The 16,770-nt window shown below is 50.6% G+C and overlaps 1 protein-coding gene across 8 annotated transcripts in view, besides 3 other annotated features; it reads right to left on the bottom strand.

Annotated features, from left to right (window-relative positions):
• Positions 6,519-7,314: an enhancer, noted in NCBI's record as "H3K4me1 hESC enhancer chr6:167730158-167730953 (GRCh37/hg19 assembly coordinates)". NCBI's record gives its function as "activates a minimal SCP1, AML or CMV promoter by ChIP-STARR-seq in naive H9 embryonic stem cells {active_cell/tissue: H9 hESC(naive)}" and the evidence as "EXISTENCE:reporter gene assay evidence [ECO:0000049][PMID:30033119]".
• Positions 7,970-16,770, bottom strand: part of UNC93A (unc-93 homolog A) — a 46,983-nt gene continuing 38,182 nt past the window's right edge. For 7 of the 8 annotated variants that reach the window (XM_017010958.1, XM_011535906.3, XM_011535905.3 and 4 more), the window contains 2 exons: positions 16,074-16,205; positions 7,970-8,797 (listed from right to left, as the gene is read on the bottom strand). In XM_017010958.1, the coding sequence (XP_016866447.1) occupies positions 8,532-8,797; positions 16,074-16,205 (398 nt within the window). In that variant the 3' untranslated portion in view covers positions 7,970-8,531. Of the gene's footprint in view, positions 8,798-13,387; positions 14,445-16,073; positions 16,206-16,770 lie in introns of those variants that run through there. The other variant, XM_011535908.3, reaches the window with a different exon arrangement.
• Positions 9,184-10,158: an enhancer, noted in NCBI's record as "OCT4-NANOG-H3K27ac-H3K4me1 hESC enhancer chr6:167727314-167728288 (GRCh37/hg19 assembly coordinates)". NCBI's record gives its function as "activates a minimal SCP1, AML or CMV promoter by ChIP-STARR-seq in primed H9 embryonic stem cells {active_cell/tissue: H9 hESC(primed)}" and the evidence as "EXISTENCE:reporter gene assay evidence [ECO:0000049][PMID:30033119]".
• Positions 15,989-16,283: a silencer, noted in NCBI's record as "tiled region #10682; HepG2 Repressive DNase matched - State 6:EnhF". NCBI's record gives its function as "represses a minimal TATA promoter and a strong SV40 promoter by Sharpr-MPRA in HepG2 cells {active_cell/tissue: HepG2}" and the evidence as "EXISTENCE:reporter gene assay evidence [ECO:0000049][PMID:27701403]".

Here is a 16,770-nt window from a genome sequence, read left to right as displayed (position 1 = left end):
TTATTGTTTTTCTCCCAGCACGTGGTGGGGTAAATTTTGTAAAAATGAAGTGAAATGAGGTTCTTCCACCAGGACTGTCTTCCTGAGCGTGCGAGGAAGGGTGGGTGGGTGGGGTTACTTTATCTGGGCTTCCTGCACTCCCAGGGAAGGCAATCCTGGCACAAGCAAGAGCACCTGGGCTCAGATCACTGGTGTGTCGATTTGTAAATCATGCATTTACTCAGCCATGTTTCATCTGTCCCTTCCATTGGAGATGTTACACCTGCACCTCCGAGACTTCGTGCTGACTCTCCACTTGGGTATCTGGCAGAAGAAGGGCAAAGCTATCAAGACTAGAGGAGACTCCTAGGGGCATTTTGGCAAGAAAAATATGCGGTGTGCATTTTTTATAAAAATGTATTTTTGTCTGAAGTGAGCACTAGAAGCAAACACATTTCCCCAAACCATTTGTTGTTCCCTTTGATTATTTCCCTGATTTCACATGGGGCTCACTCCTCTCCTTGGCTTCAGTTCTCCACCTAACTCCTGGTTACTGGATATGGAAAGGCTTGGAGATGGGCTTTGCACCTCCTAGGGACTGACCACACAGATTCTGGACTTTAACGTCAGAGACCCAACCCAGAGGAGCACTGGATCCCACCACAGTGTTGGTCCAGCGTCTCCTCCCGCCCTGGCTTCGTGCTGCAGTCAGCGTGCTTGGGGGCTCCCTATGTTCTGTTGTGTGGAACTCACAAATGCCCACTATTATGGCATAAATCTATCCCCCGCTTCCCACTGTTGGCACCAGAACACACTTATTTTACGCACCCTCCTGTGGAATCAAGAGGAGGTTAGATTCATTATGATGTTTACATCTATAATTTTGGCAAAGTGCAAGAAAACTCTGTACCAATACGTAGAATTTTCTCCATTTTATGACACCCCTATCCTATCCCTCCAGTGAGCATCAAGACTCTCATCCCAGGTGGTTGATGGAAGGAGAACCCCTTCTACCCTCTACTGAGCCTGAGGGAGAAAGACTGAAAAACAGCGTGGCTTAAGGGAATTCGGGGGGACTTCTGTGCCTCCCAAAGATCTTCCCAACCCGGTGGCCAAAGCCTAGACATTTTTCCAGTTAGCATTCCTCAAAAACCCCCCGACGAGCACAGTACCTGATTCACTGGGGGAGATAGTCAATATTAACTGAGAATGGACTTTTATTACCATCTTTACTTCAGTACTGTTTGAAGGACTATAATGAACATGATGCTTTCATAATAAATGTTAATGAAGACAGAGATACATCAAATTCAGTACATAAAACGAGCCTCCAGTTTTGGAAGCTGTTGCCTTGGGGGAAGTGGTGGTGTTGGGTCCCCAGGGTCTCGGCTGCTGCTGGTGGCGTTCCATGACCTGCTCTGGGTGCTGGTTACATAAGCATGTTCTTTTTAAAATGCTTCTTGTAGCCAGAATGATCTTTTTATAAAGAAGTCACTTCATGCCTGCCACTCCTCTAATCAAGGCCTTCTAGCAGGTTCTGTACTGGGATCAACAGTGTCCCCCAAAATTCATGTCTTCCCAGAACCTCAGAGTGTGACCTTTGGAAATGGGGCTGTTGCAGATGTGGTTAATCCAATATGACTAGTGTCCTTCTGTGGACACCAGTGGCATGAAGTTCCTCTTAGAGGAACTAGACACAGAGACACAGAGGAGAAGGCTGAGCAAAGATACAGACACATGGGGAAGAGGCCGCATGGAGATGGCAGCAGAGATTGGAGTGGTCCATCTACGGGCCAAGGAACACTGGGGATGGCCCGCAGCTCCGGAAGCTGAAGAGCCAGGAAGTACCCTCCCTTAGGGTTTTCAGAAGGGCCTGGCCCTACTGCCATCTTGATAGAATTCTGGCCTCTAAACTGTGAGAAAATGAATGAATTCCTGCTGTTTTTGCCACTCAAATTTGTGGTGCTTTATTATGACACCCTAGGAAATGAATACGGGTTCCCATGTGGCTCAGAATAAAACTTAAGGGCCTTACCTCGGTGCTGGGCCCTGTGCGATCTGGGCCCCCTCCGTGGGCCTCCTCTCAGACCTCAGCCCCTGCTTTACCTCCCTGGCTTTCCCGCTGGGTGCTGCAGCCTCTCCCACCACCTCGTCAGAGGAAGCGGTGTTTCCGCCCTGCACACAGCTGTGCCATGTCTGTCCTCATGCCCTCACCCAATTCCATTGCTCTTCCTGCCTCTGGCCACCCACAAACCGATTTTACATTTTTTCTGTAGAATAGAAACTTATTGAGAACAAAACATTGCCGTTTAATGCCTGCTTGATTCACTATATCTAGGTCAATATGTGGCACTTAGCAAATGCTTGATATTAAGTACATACTTCTTGGATGAATGAATAAATATCCTAATCTGCTTATTAATTTTCTTGCATGATGAGAATGAGACCTGCTTGGAATTTGTCAGGGTTAAGGATGGAAGTGGAACAGATAGATGAGGTCTCAGGAAAGGTTGCTGCAAAAACAGAAATCACAATTGCCTTCTGCAGGACTGGGCAGGTGAGGGAGGAGTGAGGGGACGGCCCTGGAAGGGGGCTGGCCTGGCGGGAAGGCCCGGGAAGGAGGGACAGGGGTGGTGGGTGGGGCTTTCTCCTGTACTTGGAGGCCGAGTGAGATCCATGGCTCAGTATTGAATGTGAGGTTCCCGAATCTGCTTCTCTTCAAGGCCGCTGTGCTCTCCTCGGAGCTGAGTGTGTGGACTGTGCAGCTCATCGGATGTGCACACACACACACGGGTGCTCATGGGCACACTTCCAAGTTGAACAGGTAAACCCTCTGGGTTTCAGGGCCATATTTTCAAAGGCCCACCCTGTCATTGGTGCCCTTTTAGGCCATGGCTGGAGATGAAGCAAAGCCTGCCCTGCCAGCAATGGGCAGGAAAGAACTATTCCCTAAGGAAGGAGGCTTCCTATTGCCCACACGCATCAGGACAGGCAGACGGAGGCGTCATGGGAGATAAATAACTTGCTTTGCGTTCCCGGTGTGAGACTTTACCTTCCAAAGCGGTCTGGTCGAACGCCTGTGTAGATTTTTGTTTTGTCTTATTTTTGCAAACAGAATGACTAAGGGAAGGGAGGGAGTCAGGGACTGAGGGAGGGCGTGTCGCGTTGGGAGTCGGACAGATGCTCTCCAGACAGGGATAGTGAGTCAGGCACAGGAGGGAGCAGAGTGGGACATTTGCAACGTGGGTAGGATGGAGGCTTTATAGTCACCAGGGGAAACCCACGGCGGCATCTGTCTTTCACCACAGGAGACTGTTCTCTGCCCATGCACGTTCCTTGAGGCCACGGTACAGCCCCTGTCCACCAGGGCACCACGTCTCCGGCCGCTGCTCCTTTGTGTGCGGGTCTGGCCGAGCAGGGGCCTGGGCAGGCGGTCTCGGGGGAAGGAGCGTGGCTGGCCCCGTGGCACCCGCAGCTCTCTCAAGAATGATTCCCGCCACACACGTGCTTCCTTCTGGATTTCCTACCCCTTCCAGGGTGCTGACCCCATGGGAAGAAAAGGGGAAGGAGGAAGGAAGACAAGTTTCCTGATTCCTTCCCCAGACTCAGATCTTCTTTCAGCTGGCGTGATCTGTCCTCGGGACGCTAGGAGAAGGTGGGCTGGGAACTTCTGAGAGAACATTCCAGAGGGACTGGAGTGGGGCCCCGGGGACTCAGGCAGCTTTGACTTGGGCCTGGAAATGAACTTAGGAAAAAGAAGTAATGTCTGTTTGTTATTTGGCTGTGAAGCTGGAACAGACTCAAGTACCTTGACAAAGGCCAGACACCTCAGTGCTTTGGAGCTCTCCTGCGGGTTAGCTATCTCGGCATCACGGCTTTCACTGGGGTGAGGTAGCGATGAGTCACTGACTAAACAGACCCAGGCTAGGCGGGTGATACAGAGGCCCCAAGCCCAGGCGTGGACGGCCCTCATCTCAGGAGGGTGCACACTCCTGGTCTCATTAGCAGACCTTGCTCACACACGTTCAGAGAATCACGTTCCAATGAGATCACTGCAGTTAGCAAAGATCACAGTCACCAAACAGCCGTAACAACCCATCAGAGAAGAGTGTCCACTACACTCGCTCCATGTTTTTTGGCCGGGGACCCACATGAAAATCCCCTTACATTTTGGGACCTAGAAAACGAATCTCTTTCTTGATGCTGGCAGGCCTCTTTTCATCAAAACTGACTATTTTATAATTTGCATTTATTTTTCTGCCGTGGCTGCCAGCAAGCTCAGGGCTAATCTTAGAATGCAATAGTAACTGCAGATGGGCAACAGATCTGGGTCAGCGGCACCCTCCCTGTCTCTTCATTATATGCTCTTAACGTTTTAATTTCTATATTTAAGGGCTTTCTTATAGATAGATCTTTAGATTTTAGAAAATTTTGTATAATATATTGTGGCATACATTATATTTTTTAAAAATCTTGCCTTCATCAAATCTCTGATCAAGTAAAAACAGGGCACATTTGCCTCTGAGTCCTGGGAGTTGGGCCATGGAAACTTAAGACTGATGAATGAAATGTTATGAAAGCTTAGAAGAGCGCACTGCAGTTCAGGGATTGACAGAAAAGCACTGCATTTTAAGCTTGGTCTAGGGGATGGCTGTTCTTATTGTTCCATTGTATAGCTCTTGATAGCATTTTATGATACACACTCTTTTAATTTTTCTTTGTGAAGTAGGAATATTCCCAGTTTACACACTGAATACTAAAAAAGAGTGAGTTTAACTAATTTGCTTTGACACAATGGAAAGTGAGGCTCCTATTAAGAGTTTCATAAATTGGACCCTTAACCAGGAAACTGGTTAGAAAGGTTTTGTGATCAAAGTGACCTGGACGCACCAGCAGTCATGCGAAAACCAGAGAGAGAAACTATTTTTTCTGTAGTGCGTAGATGATCTGATTGAAATAAATGCTATCTGGAGACCCGAAAAACCAAAAATTTGCTTTGAAGTCCGGTTACTGTTCAACTTTCCCGCTAAGCACGTGCTGGGCTGGCAATACCGATACGACCCAGGGACCCAGCCACACACCCTCCCCCCGGGACCAGGAAGAGATTAGAATCTGGTTTGCTCTTTCTCTAGGCTCTCACCAGGGCACTTGGGCGCAGCCACAAATGCTTCAGTTCCAAAATGCAAAGGATGAAGAAATCAGAAAAGTCCCCAATGCCACCGGCCACCTTCAGGGAGAGCCTGGCTGTCCAGACAAGCCGCTGGTCAGGTGCATAGCAGTGGGAAATGCTGTGTGTTGAGGGCATCTTCATAGGTCCAGCTGGCCGCTCCACATGGACACCCAACAACCAGACCTTCCGTCAAGCTCAACGGAACCCCCCCAGTGACTCGGAGGAGGCTCGGGCTCCTGTCACACAGACCCTCCGTTGAACTCGATTGAACCCCTCCAGTGACTCAGAGGAGGCTCAGGCTCCTGTCACACAGATCCTCCGTTGAGCTCAATTGAACCCCTCCAGTGACTCAGAGGAGGCTCAGGCTCCTGTCACACAGAGTCTGGCACTTTCCTGTAAGCATCAACATCAGCAGAACACGATCATGGCTCAGTCTCTGAGCAGAATTCTGATGATCCTGCAACCCCAACTGGACTCTTCTAAACTAGCAAGCTCTCTGTCCCAGGAGCACTTGGAGAGGCTGCCCTGCTCCACCTCACTTCTGAACGGCCGGCTGGAGCCACGCAGATGCACACTGGTTTGGACAAATGCACATGCACTCCCCAACTCCTCTCACCTCTGGGTCCTCCCCTCCAGCCTTAGGCCCAGGGCTCACTCCTTAGTGCCCCCCACACCTCATGAGCAGGCCTAGTTCATTGTCTCCAAGACATTCTGCAAAGGCCTCACTACCCCCGAAGGTCTAAGGAGTTCCTACTGACTTAGGGTCTACAGGGTTCAAAATGCTCTGAGCAGACTGAGAAACCAAAGACCAGTTCCAAATAAGACTTATCCTGAGGAGCACCAGGAGTGCCCATCATCAATTCACAAAATCCTAAACCTCCAAATGGAGGGGACATGACATGTCACCTTACCCTCGATGAACGCCCTCTACACAAATACCCTAGCCAGTCTTGACTCCTTTTGACATGACCCTGTTGTGGGAGCTGCAAAGACCATCATGGATCCCACAAACAGGCATGGCGCTGGGCAAGACGGCCATGGATCCCACAGACAGGGATGGCACCAGGCAGCCCGTGGTGCAAGGCAGGAAAGGGGAGGACAAAGCAGGGCAGGGATTAGAGAGTGCAGAGGCCCAGCTTTAGGAAGATGGTTGAAGCCTGCAAAGAGTTAACGGCATTCCACTGGGTCTGGGAGGATAAACGTGGTTTGGATAGAGACACAGGGACAGCATGAGCGAAGGGCCCATAAGGGAAGGACCTCGGTATTTAACAGAAGCATTGGACAGAGAAGTCTGGTGAAACGGACGGAAGGCTAGAGAGGCAGCTGGGATTAACTCACGGAGGCCTGGACTGTCCCGGCCAGTGGGTAAGACTGTGCTCTTTAGATGGGCGCTGGAGGTGAAGTGTCCTGTGTTTAGTGAAATCCCTCTCTCAATAGCCCGGATGGAGGATAAGAGGAGCCCTGCAGGGAGGACAATGAACCAGGAAGCAGCCGACAGGGAATGGAATGGAGGCAGAGGATCGACAGGGAATGGAATGGAGGCAGAGGATCGGCAGCCTGGGGGAGGAATGGCAGGGCCTCCTCCCTGATCAGCCAGGCCAGGGACAGAGTGGCACATAAAGGGCACATGAGCCTGGGTAACAAGAAGAAGGCTGCTGGTGGTCAGAGACACTGGGCTATCAGGGGAATTCTAACAGTTGGGAGAAAATGCCCAGCTCGTCGTGGGGAAGCTTGAGAGGTAACATTTGAGAGGCCAGGAAGCATTAGCTCGTGGCAGCTGCACTTTTCTCTGCCTTTGATCATCGCCCGTCTGGGCACCTGGCTGACACTGACTAGAAGGAGAAAGGGCCAGGGCCAGGAGGCATTTGCTCCCCCTCCCATGGCCAGAGGCAGCCAGCATCCTAATGAATGAGGGTGAGTGAAGGAAGTATTTGGAATTTCACAGAGAGGCCCATTTCCTTCTGCACATATGAAGCACCTGCTAGTGCTGTGTACTAGACACTGGAAAGCTGAATTTCCAGGAGGAGGAGATGCTCGTAGAAACAATAAACGAACAACATGCAGCGGGAGAGCCACAGACAGGACACATAAGGTCTAGAAGAAGCCTCAGTGTGAACCAAAGGGGAAGGGGAGGGGGAGGAAGAGGAAGGGAAGGGGAAGGAAGCAGCTTAGGGTTAAAGGACAAAAGAGATCCCAAGCTCCAGGCCCACAGGCCAGGGAGGTCCCAGGAGTGAGGGGGTGGGGGGGGGGGTCCAGGGTGGGCGGGGCAGGTCCAGGAAGCGAGGGTGGTGGGGGGGGGCAGGGAAGGCGGTTGGCGGGGGTGGGGAGGGCACGGGAGTGGGGGAAGGGTGGGGGGGTGCCAAGGAGGGTAGGAAAGGGGCCAGGAAGGGGTCTGGGGAGGGGTGGGGGGGGCAGGGGTAGGGCCGGGGAGGGTGGGTTGTGGGAGAGGATGAGCGGGAGGCGGGAAGGGGCTGGGCAAGGTGGTGCTAGTAATGGGGGAGGGCTGGGGAGGGCCTGGGGACCTGAGTGCAGTGGACAAGGAAGAAGCCTTGGAGATGGGCAGGCGGCAGTGCTGCTAGGAAGAACAAGGGAGAGAGGAGACCAGGTGCCAAGGGACAAGACGATGACTGTGAGATGGGCAAATATCACCCAACCCGTGCCCGGCACCATTTTCCATGTTAACAGACACATGTAGCATCTTCACCTGAAATGCTCTCGAAGGTCTGCGAAGGCCACAGCACACTAAAGCACTGATGTGATGAAGCGTGTGTGTGTGTCTATGTGAGTACTTAGCACAACAGTACTTGGGCAGGAGGTAAGTCCATTAAATAACCGTCTTTATTTAGAAACGCAGACCCCACACGTTTCAGGAATCCTGAGCCCCAGTCTGGCTTTGTCACCCCCTGACTCTGTGAGGTTGAGTCAGCTGACTTGTCAGGACCCCTTTGTAAAATGTATGAGGTTTTGATCCAAGTAGAGTTAGAAGTTTAAAAGTTCGCCCATTTGTAAAATTATGGGGCTCAACTACATTTTTTAAGCAGGCTTCCAATTCTTAAAAACAACTACAGCAATAAAACTAGGGTGAGTCTATGATTTCAGGCAAATTCTAATTGGCTGATTGTACGTTAGACCTTTTTCTTTTGCATCTAAAATTAAATGAACTGATACCTTCATGTATACACTTGATCTCTGTTAAGATGGTGGACGAAAAATTTGTTAGAATAGAAAAAAAATACATGAAGAGTGAAATAACATGATCTCTTCAGAATGGCCAAATTGTGCTGAGATGGTGATGAGGAGCCGCTCTATGTCCTGAGGCATCTTCTAAGAAAATTCTCTGGCTGGTGCTTTCTGAGTTCATCCTCCTCGGACCTCACTGCTCTCACATTTTTGTTTGTATTTCTTCATCCTCTGCCTGGTTGACCTGTCCTGGAGCGTGGGGTCTGATCGGGTTCTTGGACTCCACGCACTCCACAAGCCCATACGCCACCATGGTCAGGCTCAGGACCCCCAGCAGAATGTAGAGCTTGACGTGCACGCACAAAAACATGCTGTACCCGAAGGCAATGACGAAGCCCAGGGCCTCCCACAGGCGGTAATTGGCGAAGGCAGCTTCCTTGCTCTTCTCAAACAGAACGCCGTAGAGAGCTGCAGAGGAGAGAGCGGAGTGAGAGCTCTGCCATGGGCCCCACAGTGACCCTGTTTGTGAAAAGAGCACAGCTTTCCCACTGCCCCATTTTCTCAACTAAATCAAGACATTTTTCTTTTTTCACAACAGAATGATTTTACATGCCAGATGATAGCATGAACCCCGAAAACCTGAGGCAGGTCTCAGTTAACTTAGAATGTTTATTTTGCCCAGGTTGAGGACCGGTGCCCGTGACACAGCCTCAGGAGGTCCTGACGAGATGTGCCCAAGGTGGTCAGAACACACTGTAGATTTATACACTCTAGGGAGACATGAGACATCAATCAACATACGTAAGATGAACATTGGTTTGGTTAAGATGAGCATTGGTTTTGTCCAGAAAGGCAAGACAACTCCAAGCAAAGGTAGGAAGACTGGAAGCAGGGAGGGGGCTTCCGGGTCACGGGTAGATAAGAGACAAATGGTGGCATTCTTTTGAGTTTCTGATTAGCCTCTTCAAAGGAAACAATCAGATCTGCATTTCTCTCAGTGAGCAGAGGGGTGACTTTGAATAGAACGGGAGGCACGTTGGTGCTAAGCAGTTCCCAGCTAGACTTTTCCCTTTAGCTTAGGGATTTTGGAGCCCCAGGATTTTCCTGCTTGTGATTTAAACACAGGGCTCCTTTTGGGGCTCCACCCAGGCTGCTGGCCACAGAGACCCAGGAAAACCCTCCACAGCCTGAGGCGAAGTAGGCAGGTGGGGGGCAGGGACAGGAGCAGGGACAGTGGCAGCCTGAGCCCCGGTGAGGCAGGGTGTGCGGTGACCTTAACTGCAGGCAGCAGGGCCTGAAACCAGGGGCAGAAGCATGTGGTTCCCCAGGAGGATTCCAGACTGCCAGCCATGGGGTCCTTGAGGCAGGGAGGATGGCATTTAATTTTGTAAACTCCATGGCACCTGGTTCAGCGCAAGACACACAGGAGTGTGGAAAGAACCGTCTTGCCGAAGATTCGCTCTGCCCACCCCTCCCTTAGTGCTGGAGACAATGCCGTGTGTGGGGAGGCCCAGCACTAAATGTGTTAATGAGTTTTATACGAAACAACTCACATCATGAATGCTCCCTCTACTGCTGAAGACCAACGCAGATGCGCTTACAGCAGGGGAGTGCCCTGCTAGAGCCCTAAGATTCACACTGTCAACAGCTCATGGATGTTTGGGAAACAAGAAGCTCTTTGGAAGCCTCAGGACAAGGCACCCTTCTTGTCCCACAGTCTGCACATTGTCCACCTTAATAAAAGTAATGACCAAAGAGAACTGAATAACCAAATTTTGATTTAGTTGGCTTCTGAGACTATTCTAAACACCTCTTGTCTGTTTTTTGATGGTGACTGTTAGCATGGGATCCAAAACCAAGGTTCTAGGGAAGAAAATCCAAGTTGAGACACCATGGCTATAAGTGGTAGATCATGCCATGTTCTGTGGCTAAAAGCTCCCGGCTACACCCTGGGCAGGTCGGAAAACCAGAGCCAATGGACCCAGATTATAAATATTCTAGTAATACAGGCAACTCTAATTTTAAGCTAACTTTTTGGGAATATGGGTTGCTGTCATTCAAGAATTTCAAGATGAAATTTATATTGTGCTGCCGTGATTAGAAATCGTTGTCCTCCAAGAAAGGGACTCACTCCACTCCCCCAGCCCCCCCACCATCTCCCTTCGTCAAGTTCTGGTTGGTCCAAGGCCAATTCAGCTTCTTCATAAGTAGCCATGTTCTCCTCGGCCCTCTGAGTTTTTCCATAAACATAAACTTTCCGGGCCCTCAATGCCTCACATGTCACATGAAGAACTTGACATTCTCTGACTCTGGTTCCAAAATCTGGACCTAGTGAGGAGATCTACAACAAAGAGAGAAAGAGCTAGACTGTCTTCTAGCTCACATACTTGTGTTCAAAATCACCTAGATGTGTTTGGGAGACAGTAGGTTCCCCAGCATGGAGGACTTGGGGACCCAGAAGGTGGCTGGAAAGTGGGCTGTCCCCTGGCCACAAAACAGAATGGAGGAGGCCAAAGAAGACAGGTGTGGCCCCAGACAGAGGTGACACCCTCACTCCTGCCTGTCTGCTAATCCAGCTCTACCCACAGAAGCAGGGTCCACACCCACAGAGGGAGACGCCTAGGACCCAGATGAAGCCGCTGGAACTGCCTTTAAGAAACACGGAGGAAGAATCAGGGGAAACCGTTTGTCCCACTCGGGAAAGGGGAAGCCACACGTGTGGATGACATCAGCCCAGTCTAGGGGAGGAGAGGCCAATGCCAGTGATAATTAAACTCAGGCTTTTCAGGGAATTACTCAAGATTTGGTTCCTATTTTAATCCAAACATAAAGAAAGCAATGCATTTATTGTTTTGAATTGCATGGAACTACCCACAGCTAAGGACATAGTGGGGAAAGACATTTTTTAAAAAGGAAAGTAGACTGAAAATGGTATTTCAACAATTCTGAAATGACTGTACACATGTAAAAGATTGAACACATAAGGAAGCAGTCATACCTAGTGGGAACCAGGCTTCTGGCTGCCGGAGAATGGAGCGACAGCTACGCAGTGGGGGCTAGAATAAGCCCCGTGTCTTACCACCTTAATAAAGAAATAATGTGGTGTTGGATGGTGACCCAAAGTGTAGAGTAAATATACGAGCCCATGCTGATGCAGATCAATGATTGAGTAATAAATACATCGGGGAGAAGGGACAGGCGTTTTTTATGGAAGAATTACAGAGTACACATAGACATTCCTCAGGGTGGAGATTAGCTGCTGTCTTCTTGACTGCTGGCTCCCTGGGCACTCGCTCCCGCAGAACCGCGTGTGGAAAGGGAAGGCAGTGGGTTTGCAGTGGAGAGATGTGGCCGGCACCACGGAGCCAACGGGATCAAGGTTAACATCGCTGGTGAGGAGGCCTGTCCCTGTCCTGTATCCCCCATATGACGGGACAAGAAAGTGCCTCACCAGGGAGCTGTCCTCCGCAAACCCACAGCCCCAGCCTAATCATGAGAAAACAGCAAACAAACCAAAATTAAGGAACAGCCTACAGACTACGGTGCTCTTCAAAAGGGTCCAGGTCATGAAAAACAAGGAAAATGAAAAGCTGTCACAGAGCAGCCAGAAGATACGATGACTGAGTCCAACAGGGAATCCAGGACAGGATCCTGGCACAGAAAAAAGAACCCTCGTGGGAAGCCTGGAGGAACCCAAATAAAGGCTGTCCCCCCACTAACTGTCACATGGCAGCGTTACTTCCTAGCTGTACGAATGTGCCGTGGCTCTGTGAGATGCTCAGCATTTGGGGAAGCTGGCACAGGGCCTACGGGGTAAATGCATTGGATCTATAGGTTGGTACCTTTCAAGGGGACTCTCTGTACTACATTTGCAACTTTTCTGTAAATCTAAAACTATTTCAAAATAAAAGCTGTATTTAGAAAGACAAAGCATTGCTCTCAGCCTGGCCTGTCTGCCTCCTCTTCCCAGGTGGCCCAGGGTTAAAGAGACCAGGATGTGGATGAGAAGTCCAGCAATCTTGTTTAGTCAGAGAAGACAGGTTAAGTGAATAGGGCACTGAAGAAGTGAGATTTTCTGAGTTTATCACCCTGAAAACAGCCAACAGAGCAAAAGAGTATTTTTAGACTAGACATTCTGTATCTTCATGGCAGCGCATTGGCGGGGAAGGGTTGCCATGGCAACTGCACCCATCTTTCATTAGCTGTCTGAGGGAATAAGCAGAGAGGAGTGCCTGGCACAGATCTCCCCTTGCAGAGGCCAGGGGATGGCTGGAGCCCAGTGGGACAGTGAGCCAGGGATCCTCAATTCTGGCCCAGGAAGGAGGGGCTCAAATGGTGAAGTCTTCTGACCTGCTTCTAAGTGGGAGACTGTAAGGACCAGTCTTTAAATTGAGCAGTGATGACTGAAAGGTGAGGACAAAGTGCATTGGGTTTTATTCGGTGTCGTTAATTAAGAACATACGTGGTCCACATATGTTCTTAAAGGAAAGCATACATTTGGGGAGAATAGGATTAGAAATCTAACTTGCTACTTAGAAAAACAAAAATGAAGAGAGCTGTTCTTGAGATGTAGCCAAAGCTACATAAAATTTCCAGTTTTTTCAAAAAATAGAGAACAGAGACCTTGTGTGTGTGCTGTGCTGCATGGAGAGCCAGCCTGCCAGGAGTGCAGGAACGCGGCACTAAAATGCCACTCACGCATGACGATTGCGAGTATAAAGTCCACAGGAGCTTCTCAAGTATATGAAAATATTTTCCCCAACATTTTTTTTGTGAGACAGAGTCTTGCTCTGTCGCCCAGGCTGCAGTGCAATGACGTGATCTCAGCTCACTGCAACCTCTGCCTCCCAGGTTCATGTGATCCTCCAGCTTCAGCCTCCCTCGTAGCTGAGACTACAGGCATGTGCCATCACGCCTGGCTAATTTTTGTATTTTTAGTAGAGATGAGGTTTTACCATGTTGGCCAGGCTGGTCTTGAACTCCTGAGCTTAAGTGATCTGTCTGGTTCATCCTCCCAAAGTGGTGGGATTACAGGGGTGAGACACCGCACCCGGCCAGTTTGGTTTATTTTTGAAAAAAATTACTTTTTCCTGTACAGAAAGACAGAAACAGTTTCAATTTAAATTAGCATCCCTTATTAAAGGGAGTCTTTATTCCAGTCATTCACCGGACTTGGACGTTGATACTCTTTGTTTGACCTTAGGTAACTTTGTTTGCACAATTCAACAAGGCTTTCCCTGAGAGTATCATGTGTCCATATAAGGAAAAGGAGAGTTAAGTCCACTGTTCACATAGCTCAGGAAGAACAAAAACCAAATATGAATGATCACATTCATTGGGAGCATTTAGGGAATTATCGTATGGAATATTGTGGGGATATTTGTCCCAGTGTTCTCCTTTTCATTTAATGTGTAAATACATTTTAAAATTCATGTAAGTTCAGATAAGTCATGGTGCACTTCTGGTAATGGGATGTGCATTTGGGGAGCTCAGTGAAACACCGGCTCTGCCACACATCCAGGGGACAGTTTAAACAAATACTGTTTGATGCTTATTGGTAACGTAGCTAAGAGTCCTGCAGCGAGGTGACATGCCACTAGCTTATAATTCTGCACTGCCAAGAACACCAAAGTGAGTTGCTGTTTGTCTCCCCTCCATTAAATCAGTATTTGTTCTGTTAAGCAATGCCCCGGCCTGGCCTCGGGTCCAGTCTACCCCTTCCAGCCTCCAGGCCTTGATCCCAACAAGCCAGAGTGTGGCGCTGGGCCAAGTACACACGCATTTTGGTGAAGAGCTTCACTAGGTCCACCTGCATTACTGGGGCAGCAGAAAGGACTGTGAAACACGGCTCCTTAAATCCAACAGTGTGGGTTTGTTCAAAGGTGATTTTCAGCTGTCCTGTGGATACGCAACCCACCAGGAAGACAAGAAAGGACGTGGCTGGAGTGTTCTGTCCGCGATCTGAGGTCACATGTGCTCTTTATCCTCAGTGCAGGGACAGCAGCCAGGTCTGTCATCTCAGAAACATTGGCCTGTAGTTCGTTTGTGGGTTTGCTTTTTCCATTTTCTAAGCCCCGAGTGTTTCCCAGATAAAGGCAGAATGGTGAAGTCTCTCCTGAAGGGAAGAGGGTCTCATGTGAGCCATGCTCACCTCCGAGAGGACACTTCATCTCACCTCATCAGCATCTCTTAGACACGCAGTCTTGCCTCTTTGGGCCTCTGACACCCCTCGGGGCCTTAGATGGGGTTTTTTGGGAAATTCAGGGTTCCTACCCTAAGTCCTCATCTGTGTCATTTTCAACACCACCCAGTACGCACACCCTCCGGCAAGCGGCCACACACACTGCCCCAGCTTCCTTCTCTTCCTAGTGACCTTCCTCCAAAACGCTCTCACGCATCTCCTTGTGGAAAACACAGCCAGCCCGCACAAAGCACCTCGGAGCTCAGCAGAGCCTGGCATGAGTGCAGTGGTGCGATCTCGGCTAACTATGACCTCTGCCTCCGGAGTTCAAGTGATTCTCCTGCCTCAGCCTCCCGAGTAGCTGGGATTACAGGTGCAACGGCCATGTCCCCTTCCAGCTCTCTTGCCCTCAGGCCTCTCTAGTGCAGCTGCCTGAGCCTGGGGCCCCTTCCTCCCTGGCTCCTGCTTGGCTCCTTGGCTCCCGCTCATCTCCCATCCGTGTCCTCACTGCCCTGCCTGACCTCCTGGCCAGGCCACCCTATTCTGTGAGGACTTTGGCATTTGGCTCCTGCCATCATCATGGGATGTCACCTTCTATCCGACAACCAGCCCTCCCGGCTCCCCACAGGGCCGCACCTTGGACCTTGTCACCTGCCTTTTGGAATTGATTGTTGTGACACGGGGCCGACTCCACATAGCTCCCAGTCACTCCTGGGTGTCAGCGCTTTCTGCTGCTTCCAGTGACCTAGGTGCATCTGACCCTCCCCCACATGCTGGCCCCACACTTGGGGACCCGACTTGCCACTCCACCCCACTCCTCTGCACTCCCCCCAGGCCGCCTTCTTAGGGGCCCCAGCCCCAGCAAGGCCTTGGAGCATCCCTGCCACCTCCTGCCCTGGTTCCTCCTGCACCCCACCCCACCTGGACAGTGGTCAGCCCATACGTGATGCAGATGTAGCCTCTAGGAGGAAGCCCACCCTGGCCTCCCCTGCTCCCCCACATCCACAGGGCCCCCACCTGCTGCTCCCAGAAAACCCACCACTGCCCAGGATGCCCCAGAGCCCCGTCCACAGACACTGACCCTAGTGACCTGTGATGTGTGTGGCTTGTGGCTCACACTGCCACCTCCCATCGTCCCGTGGGCTCCTTGGAAGGCTCTGCATGTTTACACCCCAGGCCCAGGTACACGGGAGTGTGCCTCTGCTCACAAGCACATCTGAATAAAGGTTTTCAGTCATGAAGAGACTGCTGTCCTAGGGGTAGAGAGTCTTGCACCCCAGCTCGAATGGGCGACTTGACTTAAGCAAAACCACATCATCCTGAGGGAATGGTGCCCAGAAGGAACCTTGGGTGGTTTTCCAGTTTTGCATCATGAATCTGAATAAATGCTCAGAGAAAATACATCAGACTCAGAGGCGACATCAAAGCCCTCTTGGCCCTCCCGTCTCTCCCAACTCATCTCTCTTGGCTCTGGCCCATTGGCATCTAATGAGCCCCACAGTTGCCTTGGCCAGGGACCGCCCCCTGCTGCCACAGAGGAAGGGGCCTGGGCTGGGGACTCACCATTGTTTTGTGTCTGCCAGACGGCATCTGCCACGCCCCACAGGCCAGAGAATACGAAGAACACTGCCAGATGGTCAGCACGAGGTCTCCACAGCAGTAGGGCAATCATGCAGGACACGTGGGTCACCGCGCCTGGGGGTGCAGAGGGGAAACCGCCAGGCGATGAGGGCCATCATCATGGCCTGGAGGGGCCTGGAGGTGGGTCAGTGCTGGAGCAACCATCTCAACCGTCCTCTGGAACTGTCCTCTGGAACCGTCTCAACCATCTCAACCATCTCAACCGTCCTCTGGAATTGTCCTCTGGAACCATCTCAACCATCTCAACTATCTCAACCGTCCTCTGGAACCGTCTCAACCATCTCAACTGTCTCAACCATCCTCTGGAATTGTCCTCTGGAACCGTCTCAACCATCTCAACCATCCTCTGGAACCATCTCAACCGTCCTCTGGAACCGTCCTCTGGAACTGTCTCAACCATCTCAACCGTCTCAACCATCCTCTGGAACTGTCTCAATGTTTGCTTCATGCTCAATGTTCCCTTAATGCTCTGGAAGTCGTCTTTTTAGTTGGAACCTTGACATTTAATTTGTGAGCTGATGTGTATGCGTGCTGCTAGCTCTAAATCAATGCTCTGCACCATACACCTGCTGCGTGACCCGCAGCCTCAGCCTGGAGGGCCTTGGGTGTGGTCTGGCAT

This window comes from Homo sapiens, chromosome 6, assembly GCF_000001405.40.
Source record: "Homo sapiens chromosome 6, GRCh38.p14 Primary Assembly".
Classification (NCBI taxonomy): domain Eukaryota; kingdom Metazoa; phylum Chordata; class Mammalia; order Primates; family Hominidae; genus Homo; species Homo sapiens.
The sequence above is the reverse complement of the archived record's forward strand: the minus strand, read 5'-3'. Positions and strand labels throughout refer to the sequence as shown.